Genomic DNA, 16,652 nt, shown 5'->3' with positions numbered 1-16,652 from the left:
AGGATAAGCTCTAAAAAAAGTTAAGATAATAATACCAAGAAAAGAAGCAGTGAGTAATTTAGAACTTCATGAAGAAAACTAGCTGCACAGCATTTTTAGATAAGTCATTTTACGCAGGAAATAATGACGTTTAACTTATTGGAAAAGCTGGAGATAAATGTAAACACCGTGGAGATCTTATTCTCATGAAACCATCACAAATAAACTTACCTCTTGCCTAGAAAGCGTCATAGGTAATTTTTCCTCTGCCAGTTCAAGTTCTAACACTGGATTCGATGAAGTTAATGGTTTCTGGTCCTCCTCTTTTGGCTGTATCTATATTAATAGCCAAAAGAAATGAAATTCAGCTTTAAAAATATAGTTGATATTTATCATTCCATTACCTTAGCTATGGAAGTTAAACATGTTTTCAACACTGAAGATTTTCTAATATTCCTCTGAGCAAAGAGCTCACAATAAGTGTACATGCTTACAAAAGAGAGTCAAACGTATTCACGTCAGGGGCATCACAAGTCCAGAGCATGCACAGAGGAATCAGCATTCTTGCTATAAAAGAGTGACACGACTACCACGATTTCCAAAATCCAAATTTAACAGGGCTGAAATTTGCACTCTCTTTCTCCCCAGATTCTAAAGACTGTACTTTTTCCTTAAAAACCAGCAACTTGCTCTTCCTCTTTAAATTGTCTTGCAGGGTTATTTGATTCTTGCTCGGCTTCAAAATGAAGATAAAAGAATTTCTTTCCAACAGCAACCTGAGAAACTTCAAGCTCTAGCTTTTCCTATCCTGCTTTTCAAAACGTATTATTCCAAATGTAAGAAAATCATGTTGGACATACAGAAAAATTCCTAATGCTACGAAGAGTTGGTCCAAACTGAGCTACCAACCTTGCAGAAACACAAGGAAAAAAGCACCTGTCTACTAACGCCACCCAGGAAAACAGTGGGCATTCTTGTTCATATGAACCTGTAGGAAAAACAATCTCTTCACATATTTTCTCAAATCTGTTGCTCAAGTCTCAGTTTAAGAAAACTGAATTCAGCAATTTACAAGCCCCTTTGTGGAGTCTATAAAAAAGATACTGAAACGTGGTTTCCCATCTGACCATAAGATAAATCCAAAATGCTGAAAGTAGGAGTAAGATCAAAAGAACATAAAAGAAGATCAACATTAAGGAAGAAACTCACATTAAGAAAGGCTATATGGTAAAAATTACATAATTCATGATTCTATAGCTTACAGTTCAAGTTTATGTTTACCGTAACTAATTGATACTGAGGTAAAATTAAGGTAACAAACTAAGCCTTTCTATTTTCACAGGTCAAATCAGCACCAAGCCTTAAAAAATGCTAACTCATTTCTACAAAAGAATAAAAGGAATGGATACCATGTCATTACTACCAAGAAGGAAATCTTTAAAAATCTTTAGAAAGAAACACCTGTGCTTTACTTTTTAAGCATGGAAACATATTTCTCCAAAAATCTCAGGATTAAAAACACATTTAATTATATAATGGCAGTTAATAGCTCTGGGGAAAAAATCTAAGTCATTTCATGAGCTGGACTCGAAGTTATCAACAATTATCTTTACAGTAATTACTTTCCTTCAGGGCTTTCCTCTATAAAAACAAAAAAACACACTAAACAAAAGCAAAAACTGCCACTATATTAAGTTACTTTCCTACCTTATCAAATAGTTGAAAAGGTTCAAATTTAAGAATCTGGGAATGCCACAAGCCAGCAGAGTAAACCTATGTAAGTGATTCTTATTCCAGACCAAGTGTGTGTTAGACAACACTGGGCAAGGCAAAAATGAGAGTTCCTTTCTGAATATCTATCTACTCAATGGTTATTAACATAAAACTTATTTTCATTTCTAATTAAGCAAATAAAACAAATATCTTTATGGAAAAAATCAAAATACAAGTTTAAACTTTCCCATATTTTAAAAACATCAGAAATATAATTACATTTTAAAATTTTTTTAAGTCACTTCTTGGTATCTTTTGAAAACTACATTTTTCTTTAATACTTGTCTTCTCCCAGCACTACAAAATCAAACCAAATGCATATACATACCATGTGCATTCCTCATGCTTCCTTCTAAAAATGCTATGCAGGATAAATCCATTTCCAGAACTTTCCCCATTACATGCACAAAAGTATTATCTTATATTGATATTTTACAAGCAAAAGGTTAATTACAAGTTTATGATTTGGCAAAAGTATTCCAATAGAACCTCTGAGCTTTGAGTTAAAAATTAAGCTAGATATAGTCTTCTTTTAAAATAATTTAAACGTAACTTCTCCACCTTATACCCTTTAACCCCTCCCAATAAAACCACAATACATTATCAACTAATTTCTTCTAAAATATACAAGCAAAGCCTTCCAGACAACTCATTTGTTTCTAAGAAATATTTCAAGATGACATTTTCTATCCAACAGACTAAACAGTGTTTGAAATGTGATACCTTATTACAACAAAGGCATATAAATATATACGGCTTTATACTTTAGGCAGAGGTTCTTAGGACCCAAAAGGACGTATTAACAATGCAAACATAAAATCGATGGCTTAAAATATTCCGGAGAAGGCAGGAAAATTACCACCACTAATATTACTGTGGCTGGATGAATAAATGTTTTGAAGTCTTTCCAAATAGACTGTTTTATTGGGAGAGGTGGGGGAGAGGAGTGGTGGTGGAGCTGAAAATAACGCAGTCTCAGATTCAGGACTTTATTAAAAAAAAAAAAAAATTCAAGCTTTGATCTCAAGCCACTTCATGCCGTCCACAAAAAGCCAAACCATTCCAAGCCAAAAGTCATGCATGTATTTTCCTGAATTCAAGATTTTTTTAAAAATGCAAAAACAAAAACTCATACCTCTCCAGATGGCTTCTCATTTATAGGCTAACGTATATTGATAAATTGAACAGAGATCAATGATTGTCATTTAACAACAGCTGTATAAATTTAAACTCAGAAATGTACAATTTAACATAAAAGCAGACATTCATACCTTGTAGCCACATCTTTCAAAATATGCTTCCTCTTCTTTTTTGGCGAGCTCACTACGCTTGAAATATTTTTTATTTTCCTATTAAAGAAAATAAATTATGTCAATAATATATCCTTGAGCAAAATTTCATGTCCCATAGTCAACAAATACCTTTAGAAAACTTTGGAAACACTCTTCAGTTTTTCAAGAATTGGATAAAATAAATATTTTTTGGTTCCAGAGATGAATACATTGATTCCCCAAGCACATCAACAACCCTCCACTACGACTATGGGCACCGATATGTGGTAAGTTCAAGTATTTTTCTTGCAGTATCAATCAGTAGGCAAGTCCATCAGCAAAGAGGAGACCAAGAATATTTTCCAAATGTTTTCACTTCTTAATGTCTGAGTTCAATGATAATTTCTTCAAATGGATTCATTATGAAACACATAAAATGGTATACCTCAATTATTTTTTCCTAACAGAAACAAAATTATGACATATATAGCCTACATTTGATATCCCACATAACAAGGGAACTCCAGGAGTGTAAGTTCTTTCTTGTTACCTGGAACCTTATTATATCAATCAGTTCTTAAAATAATCTACATATAGGGTGGTCTTGGTGAACTCTTTTATTTAAAAAATGATTTAAGGATATTTGGGGTTTTTTGTGCGTTTTTCTGGTTTTCTGTTTGTTTTGGAGACAGGGTATCTCTCTGTCACGCGGGCTGGAGTGGAGTGGCACAATCAAGGCCACAACTTCGACTCCCTGGGTTCAAATGATCCTCTCACAAGGTATTTGTTGTGATATGATTTGATGTAAAGAGACAAGCTCTAAATCTTGTCTGTGGCTAAAAAGATGTCAGTCCTTTCCACATTATACATAAAATTATCCTTATTGTTACATCTACAGTCCGTAATTTGGAGGCTTGTTGCCATCGCAGCTCTGCCTCTTGGATATTATTCCAAAGATGGCTTTGTTCAAATAAAGACACTGTCCCCGACTGTATTAACAGTAATGATATAATATTACCTGTGTACTACCTCCACACAAGTATTTAGCACCTCATAGTTCCAAAGCTCATTCACTCAGACAATGATCATCAATGGATGCTAAAACCTTATGAAAAAGGCCAATGGTGACAATGGAAAGATGAGCCTGCCACCATTTGAACCCAATGATCAAGCTTGACATCAGTAAAAGATTATGTACCACCTATGTTATACTACAGGAATTACCCAGCCATCGTCTACGAAGTATCCTTGTTAAATGTAGGGAAGAGAGGAATTAACTAAGTGTCAATATGCCAGGAAGCAATTACACAAATCAAAGACATTTTACAAAACTAGCCCCAGTTTCTCCAGCAAGTCAATGGCATGGAAAAAATCAGCCAAGTTGAGAAAATGACAACGTTCTTCATTAAAAGAAACCAAGATTCATAATAAGCAAATGCAAGGATTGAACTTCGTGTTGACCTGACTTGAAAAACCAACTGTAAAAGCAAATGTATGTACATATTTTAATTCAGTTGGAAAATATACGAATGTGAGAAGAGTATCTGATAAAATTAACAAACTAATTTTAATTTTGTTGGGTGTGATCATATTTTGGTTTTAAAGGAACATGTCATTTTCTAGAGCTGCATGTTTCAGGGGAAGGATATACAGGGGCTCATCATAAAATTTTATCTATTTTTGTATTATGTTTAAAACTTTCAGAATAAGGTTTTTCTAAAAGTTCATTCCTTAATTCAATAAACATTTCCAGACTTATCTACCACACAACAAGCACAGTTTTACGGAAATAAAGATGAAGATGTTATCTGGGGTAAGGAACCGATGGTATCATCTGAACATCAAAACTACCCTGAGTACGGTGGGGGCAAATAGTATTAACCCCTTTTTAGAGATGAGAACGCTGAGAATTAGGTTAGGTGACATTCCCAGAACTCAGGAAGAATGATGAGTAGCAACTAGAACTCTGGTCCTTAAACCCTTTGTTCTGATCTAGTCTTCCAAGCTACAGTTCTTCACTCCCAAAATATTATTTCGGCATCTAAAATTGTTTTTGACTAGGTAGTATATAATTGTCATATTTCAAATAAGTTGGCAAACACACATTGGTATCCTCTCAGAAAGGGCTGTGTAGAAAGAAAGGAAAAAACACTCTCCAGGCCGGAGGCCATGGTCCAATCTTTTTAACTATGTTATCTTTGATGACCATGTCTCAATTCCATTGAACACACCTAACAAAATCTCAAGCCTAGAACATCTCAAAATGTGGTCCACAGAGGCTCTTTCAGAGGTTTTGCAAGGTCAAATTTATTTTCATGATATACTAAGACATTATGTGCCCCGTTTTCATTGTGCTCAGATTTGCACTGACAGTCCAAAAGCAACATGGGGGGAGGATTTGGGAAGGGGGACTACTGGCATCAGCAAAAATAAAGGCAAGGCCTTCAAACTGTATTCTTCACCAACATGCACTTACAAAAAAATAAAAAGTCTAGTTTCTCTTAAGAATGTCCTTGACGAAGTATAATTAGCATAATTTTCCTAAATCTCAACCTTTGAGTACACAGCCTTTTAATAATCAGCATGAAAAAATAAAATGTATAAAGCACTTTTGTTACATACTAAAGTAGAATGGTTTCCTCAAAGAAAAGCACTTGTGCAATTGTTTGATTAGTCAGATTTGGGTGTTTGGTAGACATTTTCTCAGAACTGAACAAAACAAGCTTAAAGCTAAAAGAAAACAATGATAGTATTTACCACCGATGATAAAATTCCAGCTGTCAAGTGAGAACTGGAAAAGTGGAAAACTTGTACCCACCACCAGGAGCTTAATAGCTTCCCAATACTTGAAGCCTTTTCCAATGAAATCAGTGGTGATATTAATGAGATTTTTTAATATTATCTAATCAAAAATGTCAACATTAAGAAGATCTGCATAATTCACTGAACCATGACATTACAAAATCAAGATGTTACAAAATCACATCTAGGTAAAAAGATCCATTCAAAGAGCAAAATAGAACAGGCTTTAATGTATGAAAAGTTCATTGAAATGATTTCAGAATCCACATTGCAACTGATCTTTAAGAAACCAATTGTCTAGTTTTGGTGTAGTATCAAGAAGAATATCCACAATTATCTGAAAAGGCTATTAAGATACTCCTTTTTCTAACTACTTATCTGTGGATGAATTTTCTTCGTGTACTTGAAAACAACATACAGCAACAGACTGGAGAGAGAAATAGAATCCAACTACTATGCCAGAGGTTTCTAAAACAATGTCACTTTTCTCACTGAAGTGTTTGTTTTCGCAAATATAGTCTTTTCATAAAAATATCTGTTAGCATACTATGGGTTTATTATTGCATTTCTACATGGAATATACATTTTGTAATTTCCTGGCTTTAATTTCTAATACGGTAATTATCAATAAATGTGTCCTATGTAAATAAAAGCTCTCTGGGTCTATCAATAATTGAGAATGAGACCTGAGACCAGTAAGTTTAAGTCCACTTGGCGTTCTCCATGCCTATAGCATGCGCAAAACAATGCTGGCAAAAACCACTGGGGCCTCAACATTGCCTATTGGTCCTGGGGTATTTACCCATTTCATTTTCTTTCCTATTGTCTACACTGACCATTCCACTGTCTCCATTCTCACGAATTTCCCATCCTTTCATTCTCCCCTCATTTTCAGCAGATGACTAAACCATCTCATTTTATGGAAGCAACCAGTCAGGAACTCCTCCAAATTCCTCCCAACTCCAGTCATGAGCTGGATCTTCATTGGTCCTTTCATTTCACAGTGAAACAGAGAACCCTCCTCTGTCTGTCTAGGGCAAATCCCTTGCCAATTACTCCAGACCTCAATTCCTCAGGGACTTCTCACCATCAATGCTGTTTTCTCCTTCGCATATTCATCCTTCCCCTCTCTACTGGCTCTTGACAATTATAATTTAAGTATGCTCAAGACTCTGCCCTGGGTATCATTTACAGCAGAACCACATTAAACTGTTTAATCTAATCCGTGTCCACTTCCTTACCCCCAATTCTCTTTGCAGCCCCACAGCATGTGGACATCCATTCTGTTTCACTGAAAAAACCTCCTTGGGGTCATAAATAATGTCTAAGATACAAATCCAAAGAGACTTCTCTGACTGATCTCATCCAGTCTTCGATTTAACTGCTCATTCCTTCCTTCCTTCAGTAACTTTCTCCTCTTAGCTGACAGATTCTTCTTATGTCTTCCTCACTTACTGGTTTGCTTAGATTTTCTATTTCTTGTATTTTTTTGTACTTTTTAGCCATTTACTTCACTTAGATTTTCCAATGTATTAGAACTAGTATACAGTTTTCCTTACTAATTTTATTTTCCAATGTCTCCCATGTTGGTTCCTGCCATTCCTTCCATTGGTCCTTCATTTCAGAATGTTTTGTATAATGTGGGGTAGGGGTTGTTGCTTATTATTTCCGTATGGATATCCAGTTGTTCAGCATCATTTACTGAAAATATCTTTCCTTCCATTTGGTTTTAGTGTATTTGTCAAAAATCAATAATTGTGTAAGGGTGGCTCCGTTCTGGGTGCTCTGTTATACTCTAGTGGTGTTAGCTGTTGCTCTTTATGCCAGCGCTATGCTGTTTTGATTATTGTAGCATTGTTACTGCAGCACAGCATAGTATCTTGCATATAGGAAAGATGCAGTAAATACTGGAAGGAAAAAAAGCTAAAATTCTGCACATAGCTCATCCTCATAACTACAACTAGTAAAACTACTAATTACTCCCCATTGAGTTTCTAGAGCAGCCTGGTTTTCCACACGAGGTTTTGCATTAAATGAAAACTCACCAATTCTAGGCTCCAAAACACTGGTGTTCTAGCAATGCAGACACATTTACCTCAGGGTGGTTACACCAGGCAGGGCACTTTAGGACAGGTGGTAAGAGGATATCTTAGTCACTTCTCTGCAATTTGAGAAAGAGGCACTCACAAGCTAAGTACTGATTATTTCAACTATCACAGATTAACCACAAAAAGCTGGGACACCACTTGAAATGACCAAAGATGAGGTGGCTCTTCTTTCTGCAAGAGCAACACCACACAGACAACTGTTTTCCAGCTACAGATGCGGTAATGACAACAATCTACTGATCCCTGACCCGTGTTTTCTAAAAAATTAAAACAAAGGGACTTGCTCTTCCCCATCTTGTAAGATGGTGGGTGAAAAAGTTGAGAAGCCGGATACTAAAGAGAAGAAACCCAAAGCCAAGAAGGCTGAGGCTGGTGACAAGGTGAAAAAGGGTCACCTCAAGGCTAAGAAGCCCAAGAAGGGGAAGCCCCATTGCAGCACAACCCTGTCCTTGTCAGAGGAATTGGCAGGTATTCCCGATGTGCTATGTATTCCAGAAAAGCTGTGTATAAGAGGAAGTACTCAGCCGCTAAGTACGAGGTTGAAAAGAAAAAGAAGGTTCTTGCAACTGTTACAAAACCAGTTGGTGGTGACAAGAATGGTAGTACCCAGGTGGTTAAACTTCATAAAATGCCTAGATATTTTCCTACTGAAGATGTGCCTCAAAAGCTGTTGAGCCATGGCAAAAAAAAAAAAAAACCCTCAGTTGACACGTGAGAAAACTGCGAACCAGCATTACCCCGGGGAACGTTCTGATCATCCTCACTGGATTCCACAGAGGCAAGAGGGCGGTCTTCCTGAAGCACCTGGCTAGTGGCTTGTTACTTGTGACTGGACCTCTGGTCCTCAATCGAGTTCCTCTATGAAGAAAACACCAGAAATCTGTCATTGCCACCTCAACCAAAATTGTTATCAGCGATGTAAAAATCCCAAAACATCCCACTGATGCTTATTCAAGCAGCAGCAGCTGCAGAAGCCCAGACACCAGGAAGCTGAGATCTTCAGCACAGAAAAAGATAAATACAAGATTACAGAGCAGCACAAGATTGATCAGAAAGCTGTGGAGTCACAAATTTTACCAAAAATCAAAGCTATTCCTAAGCTCCAGGACTACCTGCGATCTGTGTTTGCCCCGACTCATGGAATTTATCCTCACAAATTGGTGTTCTACATTTCTTAAGAAGAACCTAATTAAATAACTGATAACAAAAAAGGAGGACTGAATAAAACATGATAAAATCATTTGTGGTTGTAAGAATTATTTCATAAAACTTTTTTCACATACATATCAGATCAATATATAAAAATGTATTGCTATGAACGGGGCAGTGAAAAAGTCTGTAAGTTACTGACAGACACTGTGATGCAGAAAGATGAAAAATATAAAGCAACTATTCTGCATGAAATGATAGAGCTGCAGATCTAAAGACTGTCTTCCCATGGATACAACAGAAAAGACGCCTAGTTGTGTATGTTCCCTTACATCATGCAAGAGCACTCACCCTCAAGTTGGTCTAAGACTTGAGATCTATCCCGGCTGGCCACAGGAATATGAGAACATCGTGTAACCCTCTAAGCCTCAATTTCATCATCCATGAAAACAGCATTGCCTTGTGCACTAATTAACCGTTGTAAAGCTCAAATCAGATAGCATATAGCACTTTGAAAAATATAAATCATGTTAGTCTAATAATTTTCCAGTGCTTTGTTACATTAGCCCTATCAAAACTAGTTCTATGTTTGTAAGGTGAATAAATATCCATTCTATCTGTACAGGTTAACAGATCAGGCTCTGAAGTAGGAACAGACCAGGGTTCAAATCCAGGCTCTATCTCTTGCTAGCTGCATAATCCTATAGTCATGTAACTTCTCTTAGCTTCCAGTTTCCTCATCTGTAAATGGGAACAATGGCAACTTGTTGTACAAGTTAGAAAACACATATTGCATGATGCCTAACATTACTGCTAATATAAACTATGAATGTCAGTATTTTTTTTTTTTTTTTTTGAGATGGAGTCTCGCTCTGTCGCCCAGGCTGCAGTGCAGTGGCACAATATCAGCTCACTGCAAGCCCCGCCTCCCGGGTTCACGCCATTCTCCTGCCTCAGCCTCCTGAGTAGCTGGGACTACAGGCACCTGCCACCATGCCCAGCTAATATATATATATATATATATTTTTTTTTTTTGTATTTTCAGTAGAGATGGGGTTTCACCGTGTTAGCCAGGATGGTCTCAATCTCGTGATCTGCCCACCCCAGGCTCCCAAAGTGCTGGGATTACAGGCGTGAGCCACCGCGCCCGGCCGAATGTCAGTATTTTAATTCCCATTTCATGTACGCCCTTTGTTGGTCTGAACTGCTCTGTGATTGAAAAAATCAATCTTATCTTCTGGCTGGAATTATGTGATAATTCAATCAACTACCAAATTAAAAAATGAAAGACACCCAGGAAAAGTTTATATATTATAAATTATAAATGACCCTGAAGAATCTAAAGTTTTTTTTTTAATGATCATTTTTGTAGATTGGTGCATTTCAATGACGAAGAACATGATTATGCAAATATTCATGTTGTGAACCTTGAGGGTGGGCTGAATATTTTGTGATTCACTTTTCCCTTTAAAGCACTTAGATTTCAACACCCTGGCCCTTCCTAACATCCACTATGCACTCCAACACCTAAATTTAAAATACTCCCAACCACTCATCAAAAGGTCCCTGCAGTAGACATAAAAACATTTACAAATATGAACAAGCTTTTCCCCATACCTACCAAACAGCATTCTATTACCTCCACTTTTCTAATTGTTTTTAAAGTTTCAATGATCATGAAATTTGCCATTTACCAAGCTAAGAACTCTAACTTACTTACACTACATCACATACATCAATCGTACACAACATCCAAATATCTAAGTCAGATATTCTGTGATGCACGGATTTCCATGGGTCCTGTAGACCCTCTGAGAGGACTCATGAGGTCAAAAGTGTTTTCTACAGTAAGGCATTATCTGCCTGCTCACTCTGATGACATCTGCACTGTAGGTGAAAAGCAATGGTAAATTTGCTAAAGCCTTAGCAAGAACCAAGGCAGTGACTCTAAACTGCCACTGCAGCCAGAGGGAGCCAGTTTCTCTAAACAAATTTACTCCTTATGATAAAGGAGTAAAATTACTATTTTTATTAAGTCTTGATCTTTGGCCATATCTTTTTAATATTATGTGACAAAACAGGAAAGATGCATACAACAATTCTCATTTATACTAAAGTTTGCTGGTTGTGTGGAGGAAAGTAATTGAGTTGCAAGCTAAACTGGCTTTTTCACGGAATACCATTTTTACACTTAAGAACACCCGGCAAACCATGGTTCTTCAGACTTGGGTATTTGGCAGACAACTTCCCCAAACTGAACAAAGTGAGCAGATCACTTCAAGAAAATAACTGATAATATTTGTTGCCTATGATAAAATTCCAGCTTCCAAGTGGAAATTAAGTGTGGTGAACTTAGATCTGTCATCAGGAGCCTGACAGTTTCCTAATGCTTACAGATGTTTCTCAGATCAGTGGATATTAAATGAAGTGATCTTTTCATATTTTGTAATGAAATGTGTCAACAGGTGGGAGACCTGCATAATTCAGTAACCCAATGTTTTCCAAATGATCGATCAGTGAGTATTTTTAACGTTTCTCAGTTTTAACTTCTAATATGGTAAATACGGATAGAAATAACACATAAACAAAAGTCCTTCAAGATCTTCAGTAACTTTTAAGAGTGTGAAGGGGTCCTGAGACCAAAAGCTTTGAGAACCAGCGGTCTAAGTTACTGCTACACAATAAAGTAAGGGAGATCATCTTCAGGAAGTTCCTAAATCATGTAATTCTTTCTCCCCCTTTTTAGTACCTTTCCAAAAGAGTCTTAGCATTCCCATCAGTGAAGAGCAGGCCTACAGACTTTTCATGTGTTGAAGAAGAGAGAAGGAGGAGGAATAGAATTTAAAAAATTGGGATTTACTATTAGAAAGGAATTTTATTACTTTTTTTTTTTTTTTTTTAGAGACAGGGACTCGGTCTCTCACCCAGGCTGGAGTGCAGTGGCACGATGATAGCTCACTGCAGCCTGAACTCCTGGGCTCAAGCGATCCTCCCGCCTTGGTCTCCCAAGCAGCCGGGACTAGACGCGCGCACCACCACACCTGGCTAGAAGGAATTTTTTTTTTTTTTTGAGACGGTGTCTCACTCTGTCGCCCAGGCAGGAGTGCAGTGGTGCGATGTCGGCTCACGGCAACCTCCGCCTCCCGGGTTCAAGTGATTCTCTGGCCTCAGCCTCCTGAGTAGCTGGGATTACAGGCGCGCACCACCACGCCCAGCTAATTTTGGTGTTTTTAGTAGAGACGGGGTTTCACCATGTTTGCCAGGCTGGTCTCGAACTCCTGACCTCAGGTGATCTGCCCACCAAAGTGTGGGGATTACAGGTGTGAGCCACCGCGCCCGGCGGCCCTTCCTCCATGTTTCAGTTGGGCACAAACCCTTCGTAAGGCGACAGAAGGGAACTCTCAGGAGCACTGGGGCACGTCCGCAGAATGCCAACAGGTAGGAGCGGGGATAGGGGGCAGTTAGGTAAACTGGAGGGAAACAGGGTCAGTCGGGGGAAAACAAACAAAGCCTCGGGTTTTCCTGCAATTCCCACACCTGCATCCCTAAGGCTCCCAAGTGGTTACCGGAAAGAAGGCCGTGAGTGTAAGTTGCCCGGGTCCTTGGCGTTTTGAACAAAGAATTGGACAAAACGCACAAAAAAAGTAACAAAACACAGGAATGAAGCAGCAAAAGTAGGGACTTATGAACGCGAGAAAGCACTCCACAGGGTGTGAGTGGGCCCGAGCAAGCGGCTCGAGGCCCCGGTTACAAAGTTTTCCGGGTTTTAGGTACTCCTTCTGAGGTCCCTATCAGCTACCCCGTATCTGGATGAAGGGTTCGGTCTGTGGCTAAAGACTGAGGTGAACTGGCGCCCTATGCAGATGAAGGGATGGCCCGTGATTGGCCCACGGCCAATGCAGGGCACGTTCCCTTCCCATCTGAGAGGTGGTGGAAAGGCAGGGATGCGGGGAGAGCCGCAGCCTGAAGCCTTTGCTACTCGGTGGTGGGAAGATGAGGATTTTTCTTTTGGTTTGGCTTTTGGACGTGGGCGTTAATTGGCCTCAGGTTCCCGCCCCCAGACCCAGGTGTTTTCCTTTTGATCCAGCTTTGGGAAGTCAGCACGAATTGTACTCAAGTTCCCTGCTCTCAGACCCTATTCTCCAGCCTCAACAGTGAGACGCCAAGGGTTGGATCTAAGGGGGCCTACCAGGGGTAGTGGCAGGACACTCGCTAAGCCCCGTCCCCGCCCCGAATCCTCTGAGTATCGTCACCCTCACCCCAAAACCCCGACACACATACTCTCACTCTTACATCCCGACCCCCACGACCGCAGGGTCCTCACCACCAGCAGGTTCCTGTCCTCCACCAGCTGCCGCTTCCGAAGGATCTCTGATTTCAGAATGTCCATCTCGCCGCCAGAATTTAAGCTCCAGTTTCCCGCTCCAGCTCCTCGAACCCAGCCTCACTGGGCCGGCGGCCGCGAACCCACTGAGTATACGGAACAACAAGCCCAAACACCTGAGAACAACTGACAGGAGCCGCTTCCGGCGGAAGCTGGGATGAGAGAGATGAGGGAAGAGAGTGGCCCGGGGCGCCTGTGGTGGCCAAAGCAGCTGTGCGTGAGTGCCCACTGGCGGCGCCCTCCGGCAGCGCGCCTGTAGTTTCCCCTCGTAGGGAGGTTTACGTGAACGTGGACGGAAACCCGGGTCTTTGTAGTACTCTCTGCACCTGCTAGTTGAGTTCCAAAAGCCTCTCGAAGAACACCTCAATAATGCCAGTTAAATCAAGATCTTTATTAACTGGAAATTTACATTAGGGTTTCTGAAGTTACTTGCTTGCAAAATTTGCAAAAGGATGAGAAAAATCTAAACAATAATACTAACTTGTAACAATAGAGTGAAAGGGCTGTCTGTTCATTACTAGCCTGTTAAATTTCCTGTGAACTTAAACGACTACAACCATTTAAAGCAGTTTGGAAGTCAATTTATCTTCACTCCCTCTGTTTTAGATTGCTTACCAATCTTGGTGATAATTGAACATTTACCTCAAGCTAACTAATCATTTTTTGGTCATGTGTTCAGCAATCAAGATTTTTCAGTGACATGATTGGAGATGTAATCAGAAATTCCTTTTTTTTTTTTAAATCCAACCCAAGGGAAAAAAAGTTAAATTGAAGAGAAAAATTATGTCAGAGATTTTTTAAGTCCCTAACATTTGTTTACAGTGGACTTATTTTTTTCATGTCATTGAAGCACGTTTAAAAATTGTTTTTGTGAAATCATAATTGAACAATATTTGACATTTCGTTTTTCTTACTCAAAAAAGGTAAGAAATATCATTTTGTTGAGTCAGCTGATAATGGGTAAAATGCTTTACAAAACAAAAAAATGAACAATTGAATTATTTCAATTTAGAAAGTCTTTTGTGGGGGGTGATACTTCATCTAAAAGATATCTGAGGCCAGACGGGGTGGCTCACCCCTGTAATCCCAGAACTTTGGGAGGCCGAGGTGGACAGATCACCTGAGGTCAGGAGTTCAAGACCAGCCTGGCCAGCATGGTGAAATCCCGTCTCTACTAAAAATACAAAAATTAGCCAGGCGTGGTGGCAGGTGCCTATAGTCCTAGCTACTCAGGAGGCTGAGACAGGAGAATTGCTTGAATCCGGGAGATGGAGGTTGCAGTGAGCCGGGATCATGCCACTGCAGTCCAGCCTGGGTGATAGAGCAAGACTTTGTCTCAAAAACAAAACAAAATAAAATAAAATATACCTGACTTTTGCCAGAAATAAGCCAACACAGGAAAATGTCCTTGAACTAAATATGGCAACACTCTTGCATGAATATGGGTTTCCCTCACTAATCAATGAGCAAATAATAATTTATTAGCATTTTCCTGATTTAGGGATTAGGGATTGTTAGACACAAAAAAAACCTGAAGGGTTAAGACAGATGACAGTAACAGCAATGGAAGTTTACAGAGAACACAACGGCTGGCTACCTGGGAAACTGTCAGTGTAAACCAGAGAAGTTACTAGCTACAGTTAACAGCCTCCCCTTACATTTTAGACTTTCATTGATTTCTACGTTTATGTAAACATGTGCACTGAATCCTGATTAAGGCCTGAGATCAAAGAGTGATAGAGAGAAATACTTGAACAAGCAACTGACAAGCAAGCTTTTCCATTCAAAAGGAAGGAAAAAAGATATCCAGGAGCTTTTAGAAATACTTAAAAGAGGCCGGGCACAGTGGCTCACGCCTACAATCCGAGCACTTTGGGAGGCCAAGGCAGGCGGATCAGCTGAGGTCAGGAGTTTGAGACCAGCCTGGCCAACATGGTGAAACCCTGTCTCTACTACAAAAATAGCCGGGCTTGGTGGCACACACCTGTAGTCCCAGCTATTCAGGAGGCTGAGGCAGGAGAATCGCTTTAACCCGGGAGGCGGAGGTTGCAGTGAGCCAAGATCGCGCCACTGCACTCCAGCCTGGGTGACAGGGCAAGACTCTGTCTCAAAAAAAAAAAAAAAAAAAAAAAAGAAAAGAAAAGAAACACTTAAAAGAACAAATCGCCGTGACCCTAAGAGAGACCATATTCATTTAAAAAAACATGCATCCCATTTCATCACAATCATTATTTAAAAAGTGAAATATTGGGACTGGGTACAGAGGCTCACACTTGTAATCCCAGCACTTTGGGAAGCCAAGGCAGGAAGATCACTTGAACCCAGGAGTTCAAGGCTGCAGTGAGCATTGATCGCACCACTGCACTCCAGCCTGAGTGGCAGAGTAAGACACTGTCTCTAAAACAAAAATAAATAAATGAGAGATAAAAATGAAAAATTGGAAACAACCCAAGTGTTCTAAATGGAGGAATAGTTAAATAAAATATAGTTTATACACACAACCAAATAACATGGCATCATTAAAAACCATGTTTTTAAAAATTCAATGGTATGGGAATGCTCATGATACAATGTTCGGTCCAAAAGTAGCATAATGAAACTTTATAGCATATAGTCTCTGCTTTTTAACAAAAACATAGACATATGCTTCTTAACAAAAACATATAGACGTAATAAAACATTGATTGGAAGGAAACATACCAAAATATCAAGTTTTTATCTGGACAGTAGAACAATTGGGGATTCTTATTTTCTGCTTTTTACCACAATTTGGTACAAATCTCATAATATGGGGGGAAAATTCAGGTATCAGTCTTTTTCTGTTTAATTATTATTTAGACTATTTATAAATTTTCTAGCATGTCTATTTTAGACATTGTATATGATAAATTTTGAAGAGTATAAAAGAAAGCAAAGAATTAGATAAAGAATTTTTTAAATTTCCATAGTTATTCAATCTAATATTTAAATATCTTATATATGAGCTCTATACTACATTAGCTTCTGTGACCTAAACCAAAACATAGACCCTGCCCACAAAGAGATAGCCAGTTAGTTGGGGAATCAAGAAATAGACCTTAAAAAGTTAAATTTTGTAAGATTTAATAGTGTATATGTGGCTATAATTTCAGAAATTAAAAATCAGTCATCTTCTAAAAGAAAAAAGGGTAAAAATCAGTACAGGAT

At 38.8% G+C, this 16,652-nt stretch overlaps 1 protein-coding gene and 1 pseudogene across 62 annotated transcripts in view, besides 2 other annotated features; one reads left to right on the top strand and one right to left on the bottom strand.

Annotated features, from left to right (window-relative positions):
• PRPF18 (pre-mRNA processing factor 18) overlaps nt 1–13,594 on the bottom strand; it is a 68,965-nt gene extending 55,371 nt beyond the window's left edge. For 51 of the 62 annotated variants that reach the window (NR_172905.1, NR_172906.1, NR_172904.1 and 48 more), the window contains exons 1-3: nt 13,407–13,594; nt 3,024–3,101; nt 211–315 (exon numbers count right to left, since the gene is read on the bottom strand). Coding sequence is in view for 59 of the 62 variants with exons in the window: in XM_047425923.1 (XP_047281879.1) it covers nt 211–315; nt 3,024–3,101; nt 13,407–13,472 (249 nt within the window). In the remaining 3 variants the exon portion in view is untranslated. Of the gene's footprint in view, nt 1–210; nt 316–2,887; nt 2,915–3,023; nt 3,102–8,670; nt 8,792–13,375 lie in introns of those variants that run through there. The other 11 variants (NM_001395878.1, NM_001395887.1, NM_001395882.1 and 8 more) reach the window with 7 other exon arrangements.
• RPL6P24 (ribosomal protein L6 pseudogene 24) lies at nt 8,217–9,139 on the top strand (annotated as a pseudogene).
• Nucleotides 12,529–13,124: an enhancer, noted in NCBI's record as "H3K4me1 hESC enhancer chr10:13629435-13630030 (GRCh37/hg19 assembly coordinates)". NCBI's record gives its function as "activates a minimal SCP1, AML or CMV promoter by ChIP-STARR-seq in primed H9 embryonic stem cells {active_cell/tissue: H9 hESC(primed)}" and the evidence as "EXISTENCE:reporter gene assay evidence [ECO:0000049][PMID:30033119]".
• Nucleotides 13,300–13,639: an enhancer, noted in NCBI's record as "active region_3055". NCBI's record gives its function as "activates an Ori minimal core promoter by ATAC-STARR-seq in GM12878 lymphoblastoid cells {active_cell/tissue: GM12878}" and the evidence as "EXISTENCE:reporter gene assay evidence [ECO:0000049][PMID:35858748]".

Source organism: Homo sapiens, chromosome 10 (genome assembly GCF_000001405.40).
Source record: "Homo sapiens chromosome 10, GRCh38.p14 Primary Assembly".
In the NCBI taxonomy this organism is placed as follows: domain Eukaryota; kingdom Metazoa; phylum Chordata; class Mammalia; order Primates; family Hominidae; genus Homo; species Homo sapiens.
Note: the sequence above shows the minus strand (reverse complement) of the source record. Positions and strands in the feature narration are given on the sequence as shown.